The sequence below is a fragment of the Homo sapiens genome, chromosome 12 (genome assembly GCF_000001405.40).
Source record: "Homo sapiens chromosome 12, GRCh38.p14 Primary Assembly".
NCBI lineage: Eukaryota > Metazoa > Chordata > Mammalia > Primates > Hominidae > Homo > Homo sapiens.
The window spans coordinates 12,260,885-12,282,244 of record NC_000012.12 but is presented as its reverse complement, the minus strand read 5'-3'; the positions used below and the strand labels follow the sequence as shown (position 1 = coordinate 12,282,244).

The 21,360-nt window shown below is 44.9% G+C and overlaps 1 protein-coding gene across 15 annotated transcripts in view, besides 4 other annotated features; it reads left to right on the top strand.

Moving 5' to 3' along the window:
• Positions 14,558 to 15,194: an enhancer, noted in NCBI's record as "NANOG-H3K27ac-H3K4me1 hESC enhancer chr12:12419985-12420621 (GRCh37/hg19 assembly coordinates)". NCBI's record gives its function as "activates a minimal SCP1, AML or CMV promoter by ChIP-STARR-seq in naive H9 embryonic stem cells {active_cell/tissue: H9 hESC(naive)}" and the evidence as "EXISTENCE:reporter gene assay evidence [ECO:0000049][PMID:30033119]".
• Positions 14,971 to 15,020: an enhancer, noted in NCBI's record as "active region_6010". NCBI's record gives its function as "activates an Ori minimal core promoter by ATAC-STARR-seq in GM12878 lymphoblastoid cells {active_cell/tissue: GM12878}" and the evidence as "EXISTENCE:reporter gene assay evidence [ECO:0000049][PMID:35858748]".
• Positions 15,201 to 15,510: a silencer, noted in NCBI's record as "silent region_4251". NCBI's record gives its function as "represses an Ori minimal core promoter by ATAC-STARR-seq in GM12878 lymphoblastoid cells {active_cell/tissue: GM12878}" and the evidence as "EXISTENCE:reporter gene assay evidence [ECO:0000049][PMID:35858748]".
• LRP6 (LDL receptor related protein 6) overlaps positions 15,201 to 21,360 on the top strand; it is a 151,020-nt gene continuing 144,860 nt past the window's right edge. For 14 of the 15 annotated variants that reach the window (NR_182264.1, XR_002957325.2, NM_002336.3 and 11 more), the window contains exon 1: positions 15,201 to 15,564. Coding sequence is in view for 10 of the 15 variants with exons in the window: in NM_002336.3 (NP_002327.2) it covers positions 15,510 to 15,564 (55 nt within the window). In the remaining 5 variants the exon portion in view is untranslated. The remainder of the gene's footprint in view (positions 15,565 to 21,360) is intronic. The other variant, NM_001414253.1, reaches the window with a different exon arrangement.
• Positions 18,371 to 18,871: an enhancer, noted in NCBI's record as "H3K4me1 hESC enhancer chr12:12416308-12416808 (GRCh37/hg19 assembly coordinates)". NCBI's record gives its function as "activates a minimal SCP1, AML or CMV promoter by ChIP-STARR-seq in primed H9 embryonic stem cells {active_cell/tissue: H9 hESC(primed)}" and the evidence as "EXISTENCE:reporter gene assay evidence [ECO:0000049][PMID:30033119]".

The following is a 21,360-nucleotide window of genomic DNA, read 5'->3' as shown; positions in this document are numbered from 1 at the left end:
TAGAAGTGATAACTGCTTTCTTCTTATATCCTATCAGGTAGCACATAATTTCAATTTGTCCTATTACTAATGATTTTGACTTTGGTTCTTTGATCTGGGCAGTATCTGTCCACCATGAACCACGTAAATATCCCATTCCTCATCAAACTTTTGATGTGTGTGTGTGTATGTATGTATGTATGTATGTATATGTCTTTATGTCTGTTTGAACCCATAATTCCTTATTTTATTCAATGGGTTATAATCTCTTACTGCCATTTTTAATTTTGATGCTCAAATTGTTCCTGATTTGACCAGTGGAAGTCCCTTCAAGCTGGCATCTATGTCCTTTTCACATGTTTCTGTCATTTCTTGAGCCCTTCCTTGCTCTGTCACTACCAGCTGTTCCAGACTCATCTTATACTTTTCCTGCCTCAGATGTGGGATCAGCCATTTCTCTAAGGAGCCCTGGTTCCTTTTCAAGGAAAATATTATTTATAAGCTAAGATCTTGAGCCTGGCATGATGGCTCATGCCTGTAATCCCAGCACTTTGGGAGGCTGAGGTGGGTGGATCTCCTGAGGTCAGGAGTTTGAGACCAGCCTGGCCAACATAGTGAAACTCCATCTCTACTAAAAATACAAAAAATTAGCTGGGCATGGTGGTGGGGGCCTGTAATCCCAGCTACTCGAAAGGCTGAGGCAGGAGAATCGCTTGAACTCGGGAGGCGGAGGTTGCAATGAGCTGAGATCTCACTATTGCACTCCAGCCTGGGCAACCAGAGCGAAACTCTGTCTGAAAAAAAAAAAAAGAAGCTAACATCTTGACACTAGCTCTGCTCATTGCTATTGGGCTGTCATCTCTTCCAGGCCTGCTGTGATAGCTATGAAATGTGTCACTCAGTTCTCCTGCTGTGGGGAGCATAATTGACAGATAGCCCCAACTACTGCCTCCTAAATCTATCACCCTATTCACACTGAGGCCAACTTTTAAAGGGTTATTCCCAGTCAGTGCCTGAGCCCAGCAGGGGTACTAAGGTAGGTCTGTTCTGGCAAAATACAGGAATCCTCTAGGGGACAACTTTGGCTTGGGACTCCCAATCTGCTTGGTAAATTCATTCTTGGAACAATGCAGTAGTCCAAGACTTGTCCTACTCCAATCCTTCATTCTTCTCTCCTTCTAGAAATGTCAGATCTGCATCTCAGCGTGAGGAATCTCTCTTCCTTCTCTTACTTTCTACTGGTATTACTTACCTATTACTGTGTAACAATTACCCCCAAAATGTAGTGGCTTAAAATAAGTACAATTTGCCCTTGAACAACACAGGTTTGAACTGAGTGGGTCCACTTATACATGAACTTTTTTCAGTAAATATATTGGAATTTTTTTGGAGATTGGCAACAATTTGAAAAAACTTGAAGATAAACCATATACCCTAGAAATAGCAAAAAAATTAAGAAAAAGTTAGGTATGTCATGAATGCACAAAATATATGTAGATACTAGTCTATTTTTGTCATTTACTACCATAAATTATACACAAATCTATTCCAAAAAATTGAAATTTATCAAAACTTACACACACAAATACAGACCATACATGGCTTCATTTTCGTCTAGATAAATGTAAACAAATGTAAAGATGCAATATGAAATCATAACTGCATAAAATTAACTGTTGTATATACTGTACTACTGTTATAATTTCACAGCCACCTCCTATTGCTATTGTGATGAGATCAAGTATTGTGAGTATCTGCTTAAAACCCAGTGGGATGCTACTCATCTCTGTGTGAGCAGCTGATCTTTCCAGTAAATGGCATTTCACAGTGAAAAGTGATTTCTCGTGGATCTTGCACGTTTTTTATCGCATTTAGTGCAATACCATAAACCCTTGAATAACATCCTGGAACCCATGCAAAGTGCCACTAGTGATGCTGGAAGTGCTCCCAAGAAGCAGAAAAAAGTCATGACCTTACAAGAAAAAAGTGGAATTGCTTGGTATGTACTGTAGATTGAGGTCTGCATACCATTACCCATTACTTCAAAGTATCCATCTTTATGTAATTTTGCAATATCGATAAGCACAGTACAGTACTGTACTGTATAGTACTGTAAATGTATTTTCTCATCCTTAAGATTTTCATGAAAAATAAAATTACATTTTCTTTTTTCTAGCTTACTTTAGTGTAAGAATACAGTATATATAATAAATATAACAAACAATATGTGTAAATCAACTATGTTACCAGTAAGCCTTCTGGTTGACAATAGGCTATTAGTAATTAAGTTTTGGAGGAGTCAAAAGTTATACATGGGCTGATACGGTGGCTCAGGCCTATAATCCTAGCACTTTGGGAGGCTGAGGAGGGTGAATCACCTGAGGTCAGGAGTTCAAGACTAGCCTGGCCAACATGGCAAAACCCTGTTTCTACTTTTAAAAAATACAAAAATTAGGGCTGGGCGCAGTGGCTCACGCCTATAATCCCAGCATTTTGGGAGGCCAAGGTGGGGGGATCACGAGCTCAAGAGATAGAGACCATCCTGACCAACATGGTGAAACCCCATCTCTACTAAAAATACAAAAATTATCTGCGCGTGGTGGTGCGCACCTGTAGTCCCAGCTATTCCAGAGGCTGAGGCAGGAGAATCACTTGAACCCAGGAGGCAGAGGTGGCAGTGAGCCGAGATCACGCTACTGTACTCCAGCCTGGCGACAGAGTGAGAATCTGTCTCAAAAACAACAACAACAACACCAAAATTAGCTGGGTGTGGTGGCACATGCCTGTAATCTCAGCTACTCAGGAGGCTGAGGCAGGAGAATCGCTTGAACTCAGGAGGCTGAGATTGCAGTGAGCCGAGATTGCACCGCTGCACTCCAACCTGGGTGACAGAGTGAGACTCTGTCTCAAAACAAAAAAAGCTATACATGGATTTTCAACTGAGTGGAGGTCAGCACTTCTAACCTCCACGTTTTTCAAGGGTCGATTGTGTTTATTATCTCACAGTTTCTATAGGTCAGAAATTCTGGAGCAGCTTCACTGGCTTGAAATCTCTCATGATGTTGCTGTGAAGATGTCAGCCAAAGCATAGTCATATGGTGGCTTGGCTTCGGCCTCAAGGATCTACTTCCAAGATGACTCACTTGGTTGTTGGAAGGAGGTCTCAGTTCCTTACTACATGGACGACTCCATAGGGCATCTTGAGTATCTCATGCCATGGCAGCTGATTCTCCCCCTACAGTGACTGTTTCAATAGAACAACACAGACACTACTATGTCTTTTATTGTTTAGCCTGAAAGTCTCATGCTGTCACTGCAGTAATAGGTCAGTCCTACTCAGTGTGGGAGGGGATTTCACAGGGATGTGACTACCAAGAGGTGAGAATCATTAGGGACCATGCTGGAGGCTATCACACTCCCCCAATAAATCTCTTGCACATTGAATTCTGTCTCGGTGCCTGCTTATTAGTAGGCCTTAACTAACACATTTTCTTGGTAGACAGAGCTAGGATCTGTGCATTCATGTGTACACAAATACATGCACATATTCATATACACACTTACAACTATATTTATTTCTATACCTATCCATATATATTGAAAATCGTGAATTTATATGAATATATCCTATTAATATGGCATCACAGGGTCATTCTAGTTTTCTCTGTTTCTTTATTTGTAATTCCTGTGTATCTGTTGAGATGTTCATTTATTTTGTTAAATTTAGGAAGTTGACCAGGCGCAGTGACTCACACCTGTAACCCCAGCAATTTGGGAGACCGAGGCGGGCAGATCACTTGAGGTCAGGAGTTCGAGACCAGCCTGGCCAATATGGTGAAACCCTGTCTCTATTAAAAATACAAAAATTAGCCAGGAGTGGTAGCACGCACTTGTAATCCCAGCTACTCAGGAGGCTGAGGAATGAGAATAGCTTGAACCTGGAAGGTGGAGGTTGCAGTGAGCTAAGTTCATGCCACTATACTCTAGCTCGAGTGACAGAGTGACAGAGTGAGACTCTGTCTCAAAAAAAAAATTTAGGAAGTTTTTAAGTTATTTTTTTCAAGTATTCTTTCTCCTCCTTTCTATCCCTCCTCTCCCTCTGGGATTCCTGTTATGCATATATTGATATACTTGATGGTATCCTACAATTCTCTTAGTGTCTGTTCATTTTTCTTCATTCTTTTTTCTTTCTGCTTCTCAGACTGGATGATTTCAATTGACTTATCTTCAGTTTTCTGATATTTCTGACTGCTTAAATCTGCTGTTGAATGTGTCTAGCGAATTTTTTCTTTCAGTTTATTACACTTTTTAGCTCCAGAATTTCTATTTGGTTCCTTTAAATAATTTTTCTGCCTTTATTGATATTTTCTACTTGTTGAGACACTGTTCTCCTTTGGTTCTTTGTCCATGATGGCTTCCTTTAGTTTTTTTGTTTTTTTTTTTTTGAGACAGAGTCTCAGTCTGTTGCCCAGGCTGGAGTGCAGTGGCACGATCTCGGCTCAGTACAACCTTTGCCTCCCAGGTTCAAGCAATTCTTCTGTCTCAGCCTCCCGAGTAGCTGGGACTACAGGCACATGCCACCACACCTGGCTAATTTTTGTATTTTCAGTAGAGATGGGATTTCACCATATTGGTGAAGCTGGTCTTGAACTCCTGACCTCAGGTGAACCATCTGCCTTGGCCTCCCAATGTGCTGGGATTACAGGCATGAGCCACTGCACCTGGCCAGCTACATTTAGTTCTTTGAGCATATTTAAGAGAGTTGATTTGAAGTCTTTGTCTAGTAAGTCCAATGCCTATGCTTTCTCAAGGACTGTTTTTGTTAATTTTTTTTTCCTATGAACAGGGCACACTTCATTGTTTTTTGCATGCCTCATAATTTTTTGTTGAAAAGTGGTCATTTTGAATATAACAATGCGGTAACTCTGGAAATAAAATTCTCCCCATTCCAGGATTTTTTGTTGCTCTCTGTAGGTTGTGGTTGTTTGTTTAGTGACTTTTCTAAACTATTTTATACGGTTCTTTGAATTGTGTGGTCTCTGTTTTTTTAGCATAGTAGTCAGCTAATGGTTTATCAAAGATTTTCTTAAACTCCTAGAGGCAAAAAAGAAAAAGTACCATCAGGTCTTTGCAAATTGGCTCTGTGTTGGTGCCAATACTTCAATGCTCAGCCACACCATTTATTTATTTATTTTTGAGACAGAGTCTCACTCCGTTGCCCAGGCTGGAGTGCAGTGGCGCGATCTCGGCTCACTACAACTTCTACCTCCTGGGTTCAAGCAATTCTCCTGCCTCAGCCTCCTGAGTAGCTGGGACTAGAGGTGCATGCCACCACACCTGGCTAATTTTCGTATTTTTTAGTAGAGACAGGGTTTCACCATAGTGGACAGGATGGTCTGGATCTCCTGACCTCATGATCTGCCTGCCTTGGCCTCTCAAAGTGCTGGGATTACAGGTGTGAGCCACTGCACCCGGCTGACTAGCCACACCATTTATAACTCTGCCTTAGCCTTCACTTCTTACTTGTGCTAAGCCTAAAAATCAACCAGAGGTGAAGCCTATGGTGTTCTCAGACCTTTTCTGAGGATGTATCCTGGCCTGGGCCTTTTTGATTCCCCTACATAACCAGGGGCTTTTCAGAGCCTTTATTCCGCAAGTATATCAATCCCCAAGTTTTTCTTCTCAGGCTTTCTACAAGTGTATTTTTTTTGCCACAGCTGTTATCTTTTGCTCTAGGCATCTGGGCTTTATTCATTGGCTGTCCAATGTTTTTGAGAAACCTCTTCCACAAAGCAACTTTTCTATCCTGAGAGAGTTTTGAGGTAAGTGGAACAAAGGCAAGTACCCTGCATTAGTCCCCTTGGGGATCCCCCAAACAGATTAAAACCTATGAACACAATTTCTCAGGAACAAGATTCCCTCCATTCCCTTCTGATATAGTTTGGATATTTGTTCCCACCCAAATCTCATGCTGAAATGTAATCCCCAATGTTGGAGTTGGGGCTGGGTGGGAGGTGTTTGGATCTTGGGGGCAGATTCCTCATGAATGGCTTGGACCATCCCCTTGGTGATGCTCTTGCTCTGGGTTCGCATGTGATCTGGTTGTTTGAAAGTGTGTGGCACCTGCCCTCACTCTCTCTCTTTCTCCTGTTCTCACCACGTGACGTGCATGCTCCTGCTTCGCCTTCGGTGATGAGTAAACATTTCCTGAGGCCTCCCCAGAAGCAGATCCTGGTGCCATGCTTTCTGTACAGCCTGCAGAACTATGAGCCAATTAAACCTCTTTTCTTGTAAATTACCCAGTCTCAGGTATTTCTTCACAGCAGCGCAAGAATGGCCTAACACACCTCCCAAACTGAGAACCTGCACTGAGAGCATGGGCTGCTGTCTTCTAGACTGCTGCTGCACTGGGCAGGGGGATTGGACAAGGGTAAGGTAAAACACGACAAACCTCTCCTACCATGATTCAGTGCCCATTATCCTTATTAAGCATTAGCTTGGTTGCTGTAAACCTTTGACTATCTTCTAGAGTTCTAATAAAGTTGTTTCTCATGACTTTTGCCAGTTTTTTCAGTGTTTCTGCAAAGGAAGAGAGTTCCCTACCCTTAGAGTTTCTTACTCCACCATTTTCATTGCCATTGGCACCAAGGTATCTTTGTTGTATTTGTAACTTCCTTCTCTGATAGTTAGAAACTCTGATTCCATTATCTTTAATATATTTACTTAGTAGATTAATCCTTCTCGATGTAACCAATATTCTTTTTTTTTTTTGGTTTTTTTTTTTTTTTTGAGATGGAGTCTCACTCTGTCACCCAGGCTGGAGTGCAGTGGTGCAATCTCGGCTTACTGCAACCTCTGCCTCCCGGGTTCCAGTGATTCTACTGCCTCAGCCTCCTGAGTAGCTGAGATTACAGGCACCTACTACCACACCCAGCTAATTTCTGTAGTTTTTAGTAGAGACGGGGTTTCACCATCTTGGCCAGGCAGATCTTGACCTCTTGACCTTGTGATCCACCCACTTCGGACTCCCAAAGTGCTAGGATTACAGGCATGAGCCACCATGCCAGGCTGGATGTAACCAATATTCTAACACCGCCATCATCCTCTCCCCTGAATGGACTCCCTCCTCTGTTTTCTCTGGCTCCGCTTCCCTTTTCCAGGTTACCCTCTATTGCAGATATCCTTTCATCCTGTTTGGGACAAACGTAAGAAATTTAATGTATAGCGTTTAATTTATTTTTCATGTTTTAATAGACTTTACAGGGGGTTTATATAGCTGATGTTGAAAAAAGAAAAATATTATTGAAAACAAAGTTACTTCTTTTCTTTTCTTTCTTTTCCTTTTTCTTTTTTTTTTTGAGACGAGGTTTTGCTCTTGTTGCCCAGGCTGGAGTGCAATGGAGTGATTTCGGCTCACCGCAACCTCTGCCTGCCGGGTTCAAGCGATTCTCCTGTCTCAGCCTCCCGAGAAGCTGGGACTACAGGCATGTGCTACCACTCCTGGCTAATTTTGTATTTTTAGTAGAGACGGGGTTTCTCCATGTTGATCAGGCTGGTCTTGAACTCCGGACCTCAGGTGATCTGCCCACCTCGGCCTCCCAAAGTGCTGGGATTACTGGCGTGAGCCACCATGCCTGGCCCCAAAGTATACTTATTTTCTAATTATAGTGAATTCTTCTTAGGCATCTGATGTGATATTTTCATGGTGCAGCTAGGAACAAGTGTTATTCCCATTGAAGGAGGGAAAAATAGATGGGCCAGGCGCAGTGGCTCATGCCTGTAATCCCAGCACTTTGGGAGTCTGGAACACTTGTCCCTCAAGTCTGGATCACTTGAGGCTAGGAGTTTGAGACCAGCCTAGCCAACATGGCGTAACCCTGCCCCTACTAAAAATACAAAAAAAAAAAAAAAAAAGCCGGGTGCGGTGGCTCACACCTGTAGTCTCAGCACTTTGGGAGGCCGAGGCAGGCGGATCACGAGGTCAGGAGATTGAGACCATCCTGGCTAACACGGTGAAACCTTGTCTCTACTAAAAATACAAATAATTAGCCAGGCGTGGTGGCAGGCGCCTGTAGTCCCAGCTACTCGGGAGGCTGAGGCAGTAGGCGTGAACTGGGGAAGAGGAGCTTGCAGTGAGCTGACATAGCACCACTGCACTCCAGTCTGGGCGACAGAGCAAGACTGTCAAAAAAAAAGAAAGAAAAGAAAAGAAAAGAAAAAGAAAGAAGGCAGGGCACGGTGGCTCATGCCTGTAATCCCAGCACTTTGGGAGGCCGAGGTGGGCAGATCATGAGGCCAGGAGTTCGTGACCAGCCTAGCCAGCATGGTGAAACCCCATCTCTACTATTAAAAAAATAATAATAAAAAAATAAAAATAAAAAAAGGAAGAAAGAAAGACATTAGCCAGGCATGGTGGCACGCGCTTGTAATCCCAGCTACTTGGGAGGCTGAGACATAAGAATTGCTTGAACCCTGGAGGTGGAGGTTGGAGTGAGCCGAGGTCACACCACTGCATTCCAGCCTGGTGACAGAGAGAGACTCTGTCTCAAAAAAGAAAAAAGAAAAATAGAGGCAAGAAGGCCACTCTTCATGATATACACCACATTTCTGGTAGGGAGTTATAGCAGCATCCTCTGTGCTGTTAGAGGATCCTATAATGTGTCCTTTGTCAACTCCCTCTTCCATTCCCAGCTTCTCCAAACCTTTGTCACTTTCCTGACCTCCTCCCCGACCACCATATTCTTTCTTACTTCACTCTCAATGTAGACTTTGCTTTCTGTTTTTATGTAAATGAAGGCAATCAAATCTTGTCTCCACTATCCCTTCCCCATGAAACCTATTTATAGCTACTAGGGGCAGATTCAGGTTTTGTAGTGCTGAGCATATACAACTGGAGAAGGAGATATTTTAAAGAAAATGAATACTAAAACAATCTTGGTTTTGCAAGTAGTATAAAAACATATGACCATCCTAATCATTGCCATGGTCCCTCCCAAGGCCTCTGGAAGGAGTCTGTGAAAGTGGGAGTGGAGAAAGGAGAGCTGAAGGTCAAGCAGCCACACTGACTCTCCTCTCCTCCAGAAGTGGAAATCCTCCTGCTCCTCCTCCCATCCAAGGCTGATCCATTCTGCTAGGCTCCAGATCCTCTTGAAGTCTCTGAATCACTTTCCTCACTCTCCTTCTTTATTTGATCACTTACTTCAGGTTACAAATATGATCACATTCCTCTCAAACTTAAAAACAAAGTAAGCAATCAACCCTAACTAAGTCAACTCCCAGATTCCTCCAGCCTCACATTCCTTTCCAGCCACCCAAGTGTTCTCTTTCCTTTAACAATAAGATTTGGGAAAAACCACTGCCCTCCCTCCCTGTTTCCCCTTCATTTCTCAATTCACTGCACTTTTGCTTTGGATCTCATACCTCTGCTGAAACTGCTTTGGCTTAAAGTCACCAATGACTATTTTGTGCACTTTATCTGTGATTTTTTTTAAAAAGCAGGCTTCAGGTTCTTTTGATTAGGTTGAACCAGGAAAACTGTCATTTTTGTAGGCTTTTTTTTTTTTTTGAGATGGAGTCTCACTCTGTTGCCAGGCTGGAAAGCAGTGGCGCCATCTCGGCTCACTGCAACCTCCACCTCCGGGGTTCAAGCGATTCTCCTGCCTCAGCCTCCCAAGTAGCTGGGATTACAGGTGCCTGCCACCACACCCAGCTAATTTTTGTATTTTTAGTAGGGACAGGGGTTTCACCATGTTGCCCAGGCTAGTCTCAAACTCCAGACCTCAGGTGATCTGTCTGCCTCAGCCTCCCAAAGTGCTGGGATTACAGGCGTGAGCCACCGCGCCCGGCCAGCGTTTCAGTTTAAAGGTGTATGTATTTTACTCCCAGACTGATTTTCTAAAACACTGGCATAATGTATGTTCCCATCAATGACGTTCGAGAAAGTTATAGTCACAATGCCCTCTTTTCAGCACTTCTCACAGCAGACTCTCTGTTGTTAACAGTTAACACTGCATTTGCCATTACTAATCATACCTTCTTTAGTGGTAGCAATTTCTTTCTTTCTTTTTTTTTTTTGAGACAGAGTTTCACTCTTTTTGCCCAGGCTGGAGTGCAATGGCGCGATCTCGGCTCACTGCAACCTCTGCCTCCCGGGTTCAAGCGATTCTCCTGCCTCAGCCTCCCAAGTAGCTGGGATTACAGGCGCCTGCCACCATGACCGGCTAATTTTTTTTTTGTATTTTTAGTAGAGACGGGGTTTCACGATGTTGGCCAGGGTGGTCTCGATTTCTCGACCTCGTGATCCGTCTGCCTCGGCTTCCCAAAGTGCTGGGATTACAGGAGTGAGCCACCGTGCCCGGCCAGTGGTAGCAATTTCAATAAGTGTTTTTTTTTTTTTTTTTTTTGAGACAGAGTCTTACTCTGTTGCCCAGGCTGGAGTGTGCAGTGGTGTAATCTCGGCTCACTGCAACCTCCGCCTCCCAGGTTCATGCCATTGTCCTGCCTCATTCTCCCGAGTAGCTGGGACTACAGGCGCCCACCACCATGCCCGGCTAATTTTCTGTATTTTTAGTAGAGACGGGGTTTCACCGTGTTAGCCAGGATGGTCTGGGCCTCCTGACCTCGTGATCCGCCCACCTCGGCCTCCCAAAGTGCTGGGATTACAGGCGTGAGCCACCGCGCCCGGCCTTTTTTTTTTTTTTTTTTTTTTTCAGACAGAGTCGCACTCTGTTACCCAGGCTGGGTGGCAATGGCGTGATCTTGGCTCACTGCAACCTCCGCCTCCCGGGTTCAAGCAATTCTCCTGTCTCAGCCTCCTGAGTAGCTCGGATTACAGGCACGTGTTACCATGCCTGGCTAATTTTTCTGTTTTTAGTAGAGATGGGGTTTCACCATGTTAGCCGTGCCGGTTTCGGACTCCCGGCCTCAGATGATCCATCCACCTCGGCCTCCTAGAGTGCTGGGATTACAGGCGTGAGCCACCGCGCCCGGCCTCCACCTGGATGTTTCATAGACACCTCCAATACAAAAGAGCCATTGTTAAACTTATTACCCACTCCTTCTTGAAATACTTCTTAGGTTTTCTTTTCTTTGTAAAGGAGACTCCCATTACTCTCTGTTTCTCTCTCAATTCACAACTAAAAGTCCTGTTTTAATCTCGTATTCTTTAAATCCATGATGTCTTTTCAGTCCTCAGCGCTGCTGTCCTGATTGCCCCTTTCATAGACTTCTGTACAATGTGCAAAATTCTTCAATGTCCGCATTGTTAATATGCTAAAATCTAAACTTCTTAGCATGGCTTGAAAAGGTTTTTATTAATCAATAGCTATTTAATGGTCCTGCCTCAATTCCTGACATTCTCTAAAAGCATTCCATGCATCAGCTATATGAATCTACTTTCAAATCCCCAACATACTAAGTTCTCTAATGATTCAGTGTCTTTAAACCTACTATTGTGATTGAAATTTTTTTTCAGTCTTGTTGGCCTGGCAAAGTCTGATTTGTATTTCCAACCTCAGCGCTAGGGTTATTTTCCCTTCTTTTGTTTTGTTTTGTTTTGTTTTTTTGAGACAGAGTTTCACTCTGTTGCCCAGTCTGGAGTTCAGGGGCGCAATCTCGGCTCACTGCAACCTTCGCCTCCTGGGTTCAAGTGATTCCTGTGCCTCAGCCTCGTGAGTAGCTGGGATTAAAGTTGTGAGCCACTGCGCCTGGCCCTTTTTTCCCTTCTTTGAATTGTCTAGGCAGAAAAGCATCTCTACACTTAGCAATTTTGTCTTTTTTTTTTTTTTAGTTGGAGACAGGGTCTCACTGTATTGCCCAGGCTGGAGTGCAGTGGCAAGATCACAGCTCACTGCAGCATTGGCCTCCTAGGCTCAAGTGATCCTCCAACCTTAGCCTCCCGAATAGCTAGGACTCCAGGTACACGCCACCATGTCTAGCTAATTTTTGTATTTTTTGTAGAGATGGGGTTTCGCCATGTTGCCCAGGCTGGTCTCGAGCTCCTGGGCTCAAGTGATCTGCCCACTTTGACTTCCCAAAGTGCTGGGATTACAGTTGTATGCCACTGTGCCCTGCAGATTTTAATATTTTAATTACTCACTTTATTAATCAGTGTTTCCAAACTAGGCTGTAAGCTTCTTGAGGGTAGGGACTATGATTACTCTCATCTTTATATCCCCAACACTTAACAGAGTGATTGGTATCTGATTGGCACTTAAAAGAATGAGAAACAAAATTAGTTATGCAGTAATAATGGCATTCTCTCTAGGGCTTAAGCTTAACCTATAGATTTTCACTTAAGCATCTTTTAAAAATTTGTAGTAAATATATAGTACATTAAACAAAATTGAAGAACAGAAAAGCAAACTACATCTCATATTATTTCACCATCCTAATGCCTATTTTAGTGCACTTACTTTTGGTCTTTGCTCAAATATGTGCTATATATATGTGTGTGCATTTATGTTTGTATATTATATATATTTTTATTTTACATAGCTATAATCAAATGTACATGCACTTTCACTTTTTAAAAGCTTAACTCGGCCGGGCGCGGTGGCTTACGCCTGTAATCCCAGCCCTTTGGGAGGCCAAGGAGAGCGGATCACTTGAGGTCGGTAGTTCGAGACCAGCCTGACCAACATGGAGAAAGCCCGTCTCTACTAAAGATACAAAATTAGCTGGGTGTGGTGGCGCATGCCTGTAATCCCAGCTACTCAGGAGGATGAGGCAGGACAATCACTTGAACCTGGGAGGAGGAAGTTGTGGTGAGCCGGGATTGTGCCATTTTACTCCAGTCCAGGCAGCAAGAGCACAACTCCGTCTCAAAAAAAAAAAAAAAAAAAAAAAAAGCTTAACTCACTATAAACATTCAACACTGTTGCATAATCCTCTAAATTATTATTTTTCAGCAGTGTGTAATATCTCATTCCCCTACTTAGGTTGATAGTCTGAGGAGATTTAGGTTGTACCGCATTTTCTTTTTTATTTTATTTTATTTTTTTCGAGACGGAGTCTCGCTCTTTCGCCCAGGCTGGACTGCAGTGGCGCTATCTAGGCTCACTGCAAGCTCCGCCTCCCGGGTTCACGCCATTCTCCTGCTTCAGCCTCCTGAGTAGCTGGGATTACAGGCGCCCGCCACCGCGCCCGGCTAATTTTTTGTATTTTTAGTAGAGACGGGGTTTCACCGTGTTAGCCAAGATGGTCTCGATCTCCTGACCTCGTGATCCGCCTGCCTCGGCCTCCCAAAGTGCTGGGATTACAGCCGTGAGCCACCGTGCCCGGCCAGTTGTACCGCATTTTCTATTATAAATAGGGACAGATCCAGGCTTTGTGGGACTTGAAGCTTATACAATTTTGTATAATACAATTATACAGAAGAGGAATTCAAAATTATCTTTGTTTTGCAAATAGGACCATGTGAACATACCATAAAGGCCCCTCCCCAGACATTGGAAGGGGCCTGTGAAAGTGAAGGTTAACTTTCTTTTCTTTTTTTTTTTTTTTCTGAGACGCAATCTTGCTCTGTTGCCCAGGCTGGAGTGTAATGACGCGATATCGGCTCACTGCAACCTGCGCCTCCTGGATTCAAGCCATTCTCCTGCCTCTGCCTCCTGAGCAGCTGGGATGACAGGCGTGTGCCACCATGCCCGGCTAATTTTTTTTGTATTTTTAGTAGAGACGGGGGTTTCACCATGTTGGACCAGGCTGGTCTCGAACTCCTGACCTCGTGATCTGTCCGCCTCGGCCTCCCAAAGTGCTGGGATTACAGGCCTGAGCCACCCGCCCCCGGCCCAGTTTCCTGCTTTGAGGAAGCCAGAATACAAAACTCACTTGGTTCTTAGAAGCAGGTCATTTAAATAAACGGTGACTAGACCTCAGGTGAATTTGGGAGAAAGTGATTTGGCTGTTTCTGCTGTCCATCTACTTACAAACCTGCAGCACCTTTGGTTCAGCGCGCATTTCTTGGAAGGAGCGGAGTGGCTTAAGTCAGAGACCTGGATTGGGCTGAGGTACTGCTATTCATTACTTGAGTGGCCCTGGGTAAGTCATTAACCTCTCAGGTTCTCATTTTGCTCCTCTGTGCAATAAAGAATAAGTAACAAAACCTGCCTTTCCCCAGGGTAGTTTTGAGTGTCAAATATGATAACTTGTGTTCAAGCACTAGTGAACTCCAATGTCACTGAGGTACTTGTTAACATTGTGGTAGCAGCTCCACTTTCTTGCCCATCTGCCTCCAGGTAAGGGCGTGTGACAGCTGGGCAGGATGCATCTGATGGCTCCATTAGGGTTAACTGTTGGAGCGCCTCTGCCCAGACGAAAGCCTGGCAGGTGATTTCAGGGGGCGTCTGGGCCATTACTCCTGAATGCCCAATGCACTGGGAGTAGCAGAGGCTGTGCACAGTCTGAGATTCTAGGGAATCTTTTCCTTCTCAAGCTGAGAATTGATAATCGAAGCATGCCAAACATTCGTTATTATATGCAACTTGTAAAATCCTAAATAGTCTTGTCCAATTGTCCCTTTGCTCTTAGGTTTTGAGGCATTTATCTTGGAATTTTATCTGCCAGTTTAGAAATCTTTAGCTGGTCGGGCTTAATTCTGGGGGCAGTTTGTATTTCTGGGAAGGCGGGAGAAAAATGACAATCTCAGTTTTGAATTGGCGTTTTAATATCGTTCACCAGATCCACGCTGAAAGCCGGTGTAAACAGCGTTCAAAAATTCCGCCCTCCCAAAAAAAGGATGCTGAAACCGATTTCCAACCCCGAAGACGGAGCTCATCACCCCGCAACGGGATCCGCCGTGGCTCCCCGCGCGTGCACCGCGGCTGGGCAGTCTCAGGTGGCTGGGGGCGCGAGACCGGAGCCCCACCTGGCCCTGCCGGCGGCGGCCGCACAAAGAGCGGGGCAGACGGCTGCCCGGCCGAGCCGCAGAAAGTAGTCCCGACCACGCCGGCTCCAATGTTGTTCAACGCCGCCTCACGCCCTCCGCGGGGAGGGCCGAAGCGGCCGGTCCGGGAAAGAATCCCGCTGGAATGCGCCACCGGGAGGAGGCTTTCCCTCCCAGTTCGCCTCTGCTAGCCCAGAACCTCTCCCAGGGTCTCAGGCAGAGGCTGTGCGTGCGGTTGCCGACTCCCTTCCCTGGCCGTACAGGAGGCAGTACCGGGAGAAGGGGCTCGTTGCGCGCAGGGACACGGTCGCGGCGACCCTAGGAGGCGGTGCCGACCGTATCCCTGCGCCGCTGCGCGAGGCAGAGGCTGAATGAGGAGCTGCGCGGGGGAAGCGGGGCGCCGGGGGAGGAGGCGGCGGGATGGAAGCAGACGCTGGCGTCGCGCGAGCCCGGGGCCGAGCGGCGCGGTAGAGAGGGCGGCGGCGGCGCGCGCGGAACCTTGACGTGCCCCTTTCTTTCTTCTCTCGCTGGGAAGCTGGGAAGTATGAGCGTGCAGCCCTGCCGCTGCGGCGGCCGCCCCGGCTCCTCGCCTCCCCCACTTCTGGCCACCCCTCGCCGGTGAGAGAAGAGAACGCGAGAAGGGAAGATGGGGGCCGTCCTGAGGAGCCTCCTGGCCTGCAGCTTCTGTGTGCTCCTGAGAGGTGGGAAGAGTGGGGGCACTGGAAAGTTGGTGGGGTTCGGGGGGAGGTGGCCTTGTTGTATGTGTCTAGGGGGAGGGGAGGGACGGAGGAAGGGAGAAGGGGAGAGGAGCGGGGAGAGGCCTGGTCGTGGGGAGGGGGAGAGAAAGGGGCCCGGGAGCAGGGGCTGCGTGCACCGCCCGGCCACAATGCGGACCTGGCCTGGCTTCCCAGACCTTCCCCGGACACATCGGAGCTTCGATCCCGGCTGCTGGTCTTAGGGAACCCTTGGCACCCCATGCTGTCGGGATGACTGAGTGTCTGTGTGCCTCTCTCTGCCTGGGGTCTTCCAGGGAAAAGGGTCTTTGTACGTATTTTGGCTTTTAAAATGTTTGAGTCCGAGATGCTTTAAGGTTGGCCTTATCCATCGAAGCCCCGCCACCCACTCCCCACCCCGTTTCGGTGTTTCTTAGGTGAACTTTTAAAGCCCTCTTGCTATTTTTTCCAGGCCTTGTTACAGGTAATGATTGGCTTCCGTTTGGGATATAATGACCCTGGGTGAGAGCGCAGTTGGAAAGTGACTCCGGGGTTATAGGTCGAGCGTTTCAGCATTGGGAGCCTTCTGAGCTTCAGCCCATAATAAAATAAAACATTGCCCTTGTAACCTCTGGTATTCACGGCTTGCCCCTATTTTCGGAGTATGCAAGTGTACAGTTGGCACTAAGTAGGGAAATTCATCCTCGTGTGAAGAGGAGCCGGTCCTGGGACCAAAATGATAATTTGCTCTGCACCCCTGGGGACTGCTTGGCACTTTGGTAAATTGCATAGGCTGTTCGAGATAATTTGCTCTGGGAATCGCTTGAATTCGATGGCACTATGATGTTTTGAATTGGACTGCAAAGCTGACACATGCTCTGTGACTTTTGTGACAGTTCACAAAGATTTTTGACTGGCCCGTCGGCAGCTCTTCTCAAACTATTTAGTGTTGAACTTGAGATGGCTGTGATGGCTGTGGAGCATTTACCAGCAGAGGAATTTAAGTACTGCTCGATACGGTGGCTTGTAGTTTTGGTTTGGTAAAGTTCTTACTGGCGTTCATAGTAAGTTCTTTTCAGGCATGTGACCGCTGGTCGCTGGAGATTTTTAGGTGTTAACAAGCTAAACTTTTGTTAAGTTCTCCAAACTAATTTAAGTTTACAGAACACTAATAGTAACTAATAGTCTGTGACAGGTGTATATTTTTGCGTGTACTGTGTATATGTATTTCGGATGAGAATGATTGAGTTTTTTTTTGGAGGAGGAGAAATACTTTCTTCAGTTACTCTGTAGTAATGCAGCATTGTGTTTGCATGTTATATTACTTGATACTCTAAGCATATTACAAAGTTTTCCCACATGTAAACCCCGGAAAGGTAGTGTTCATTAGATTTTTGTGGCAGAAATTTTAATGAAGTGTTACGTACTGGAGAGGTTTCATAAGTATATACTTATTTTATTATTGGCATACTCTATTGAAAGGGGTTTTGCTGTAGCTGTTAGAAACAACTATATTTGACATAAGAATATGTATGTATTTTAAGACATAAGGTTAATAGGGCTGACAAATATGAGAACCAGCTGATTGGTTAGAGTCGTGGGAAAACTTATAACTTGGGATGTTTCTGGTTGTCTAGTTGTATTTCTTGGAGGAGAAGCGTGTGATGTAAATGCCGTTTGTTTAACACCAGCTTTGAGACCAGAGCTGGGTTTGTTCATTATTGGAATTTAGATAGGTTGCACTTATTTATGTAACAAGACCTGGAAGAGGTAATAGTTTAAATTGTCTCGTTTCCACTAGCAAAGTTTTCAGAAGTGGAGCTCTCGTTTTAAATGTGGCGAAATATGGTGTAAGGTGGTCTTCTAATATGTAACAGTACTGTACTTAGCTGTGAGTACATATTATTTGAAGTAAAACTGTCTTTTGATGTAAAATATTTTTGTTCATAATTTAGAATTAATTCATTCTTTGAGAATGTCATCCTCTGTTATAGTAAAGATATTTAGTCAACCTTGGACTCCAAGGAGAAAAATCTGATTGATTTGTTGCATTTAGGTCATTTTTTTCCCCCACAAAGAATTGGGGCTTTAACATTGGCTGGGTGTGATGGGGTATGTGAGAGTCTGGGAGACCTTCTGTCCTGTAGCCCTGTTGAATTAGTAGCAGAAAGCCAGGGAATACTGTTAGTGCTGTGTCCCTATCTCTATCATCACATGACAAGGTATAAAGGAAAGATTTGGGAATTTCAATACTAAAATCTTGGATTTAAAGCCCAAGTGTCACAACTTCATAACTTTGTGGTTCTGGTCTAGTCCGCTTCTCTAGGTCTCAGTTTCTTTACTGGTAGTGTGGATAATGATACCTGACTAGTTTGCAGGGTTATTGGGTGTTTTAAATGAAATAATATGGAGTACCTTGTTAATGTTACTTTTTGCTATAATTTTTGCTTGTTCAGGGACATATCCTCAAATGCTTTCATGATTTGAGATTTAATTTGTATAACGTTCACAATTTTTTTTTTTTTAAAGAGACAAAGTCTTGCTTCATCACTCAGTCTGGGGTGCAGTGGTGTAATCACAGCTCATTGCAGTCTCAAAGTCTTGGGCTTAAGTGATCCTCCTGCTTCATCCTCCCAAAGCTCTGAACTATAGGCACGTGCCACTATGCCCCCAATTTTTTGTAGATATGGGGTTGGTGTGGGGGTGTCTTGATATGTTGCCCAGGCTGGTCTCCAACTCCTGGCCTCAAGTGATCCTCTCAAAGTGCTGGGATTACAGGTTACAGGTGTGAGCCACCATGCTTGGCCAGGTTCACGAATTCCTATTTTTTTTTTGGAGGTAGGGTCTTGCTCTGTTGCCTAGGCTGGAGTGCAGTGGCATGATCGCTGCTCACTGCAGCCTGGACCTCCTGTGTTCATGTGATCTTCCCACCTCAGCCTCCCAAGTAGCTGGGACCACAGTTGTGTGCCATAACACTTGGCTAATTTTTATAGAGCCAGAGTTTTGCTATGTTGCCCAGGATGGTCTTAAACTCCTGGGCTCAAGTGATCCTCCCACCTCCGCCTCTCGGAGTTCTGGGATTACAGGTGCAGATTCACACATTCTTTTTTTTTTTTTTGAGACGGATTCTTGCTCTGTTGCCCAGGCTGGAGTGCATTGGTGTGATCTCCGCTCACTGCAAGCTCTGCCTGCCGGGTTCACGCCTTTCTCCTGCCTCAGCCTCCTGAGTAGCTGGGACTCATTTTTTTGTATTTTTTAGTAGAGACGGGGTTTCACTGTGTTAGCCAGGATGGTCTCCATCTCCTGACCTCGTGATCCGCCCACCTCGGCCTCCCAAAGTCCTGGAATTACAGGCGTGAGCCACCACGCCCGGCCAGATTCACACATTCTTTTTTTTTTTTTAAAGACAGAGTTTCGCTCTTGTTGCTCAGGCTAGAGTGCAATGGCATGATCTCGGCTCACTGCAACCTCCGCCTCCCGGGTTCAAGCGATACTCCTACCTCAACCTCCTGAGTAGCTGGAATTACAGGCATGCACCACCATGCCCAGCTAATTTTTTTTTTTTTTTTGTATTTTTAGTAGAGATGGGGTTTCTCCTTGTTGGTCAGGCTGGTCTCGAACTCCCGACCTCAGGTGATCTGCCCATCTCGGCCTCCCAAAGTGCTGGGATTACAGGTGTGAGCCACCACGCCTGGCCCAGATTCACACATTCTTAAAAGTGAAAGGGATCTTGGTCGTTTGAGCCTCACCAGTTTATTTGTAAGTGGGGAAACTCAGATTCAGAGATACTGTAATTTAATAAAGGTAGGTTAATTAAAGATGGGGCAGGGATTTATTATTCATTCTTTTAGCAAATATGTATGGAATACCTCCTATATGTCAGCCTCTGGTACTGATGGTGAGTAAAACAATGTGTTTCCTAATCTAACGGGCCTCACAGTTTAGGTTGCCATCCTTACCATTTTCTTAGTTCCATTCGGATACTGATGAGAAAAAATAATATCTGATCTTCTGCTGGAAGTATTTTTGATAAGAATATAGGTTTTGGAATACCATCGGTGTGTGTAATCTGTGAAATACTATTTCTTAGCTTGCTTTTTTTTTTTTTTTTGAGACGGAGTCTCGCTCTGTCGCTCAGGCTGAAGTGCAGTGCCGCGATCTTGGCTCACTGCAATCTCTGCCTCCTTGGTTCAAGCGATTCTCCTGTCTCAGCCTCCTGAGTAGCTGAGACTACAGGTGCCTGCCACCATGCCTGACTTATTTTTGTATTTTTGTATTTTTTTGGTTTTTGAGACGGTATCTCACCCTGTCGCCCAGGCTGGAGTGCAGTGGCATGATCTCAGCTCACTGCAACCTCTCCCTCCTGGGTTCAAGCAATTCTCCTGTTTCAGCCTCCTGAGTAGCTGGGACCACAGGCTCACACCACCATGCCCGGATAATTTTTATATTTTTAGTAGAGACGGGCTTTCACCATATTGGTCAGGATGATCTTGAACTCCTGACCTCAAGTTATCCACCTGCCTTGACCTCCCAAAGTGCTGGGATTACAGGTGTGAGCCACTGTGCCCGGCCTAATTTTTGTATTTTTAGTAGAGATGGGGTTTCACCATATTGGTCAGGCTGGTCTCGAACTCCTGACCTCAGGTGATCCACCCACCTCTGCCTCCCAAAGTGTTGGGATTACAGGCGTGAGCCACCGCGCCTGGCCTTTTTAGCTTTTTTTGAGGAGGCTTGTTATATAAAAATTCTTCGTTACTTTTTTTTGTTTTGGTGGGCTGGTAAATATTGTTGGAACAAACCACTAATGTTTTGCATCTTGTATTTCTGTAGAAGCGATCCTTTCTTCCTTTAAAATCAGGTGTTATAAAGTCTTGGGGAAGTAGAACAAATTTTGGAGTGGCAATCAGGAGAATTAAGTTATGGTTCTAAATTTGCTGTGTAACCTTGAGTGATCTCTGTACACTTTATTTGGAGATTAGAATTCATGTTAACACATTAAGGGTTCTGAAAAGTCCTGAGGTAAAGAGACCGGTTTTAACTTTGTTTAACCTATTATTTTCCAAACTTGTCAAGTATTACATTGATATTTGATGACAGTTTCATATAGTTAATTTGATACTGTCATTCCTGTTTACTTACCTGGCTTCAGGTTTGCTCATTTGGCTAAACAATAATTTGTCTGGTTATTAAATTTTAAGGTTTTAGCTTGTTATTATCAGAAGGGCTAATAGTGATTTCCTGTGGTTCAATTTTTTTTTTTTTTTTTGAGACGGAGTCTTGCTCTGTCGCCCAGGCTGGAGTGCAGCGGCGTGATCTCAGCTCACTACAAGCTCCGCCTCCCGGGTTCACGCCATTCTCCTGCCTCAGCCTATAGGCGCCCGCCACCACGCCCGATTAATTTTTTGTATTTTTAGTAGAGATGGGGTTTCACCGTGTTAGCCAGGATGGTCTCGATCTCCTGATCTCGTGATCCGCCCGCCTCGGCCTCCCAAACTGTTGGGATTACAGGCGTGAGCCACCGCGCCCGGCCATGATTCAATTTTTAAGAGATTTTTTTCTTTGCTTTAATTGGAAGTTTTTCCATTTGCTGTACTGAACTACTGTGTCCTTATATATGCTTTGGCTGTCAGAAAGGACTGTTTTAAATATCAAAGGAGATTCTGGGAAGGGATATATTAATGGAAAATATTTTATGAGAACGTATATTTTTTGTTTAAATATTTTGCGCATACTGGAAAAATAATGTTTAGTGCTATTTAGGCCATGGGTAACTACTCTGAGAAA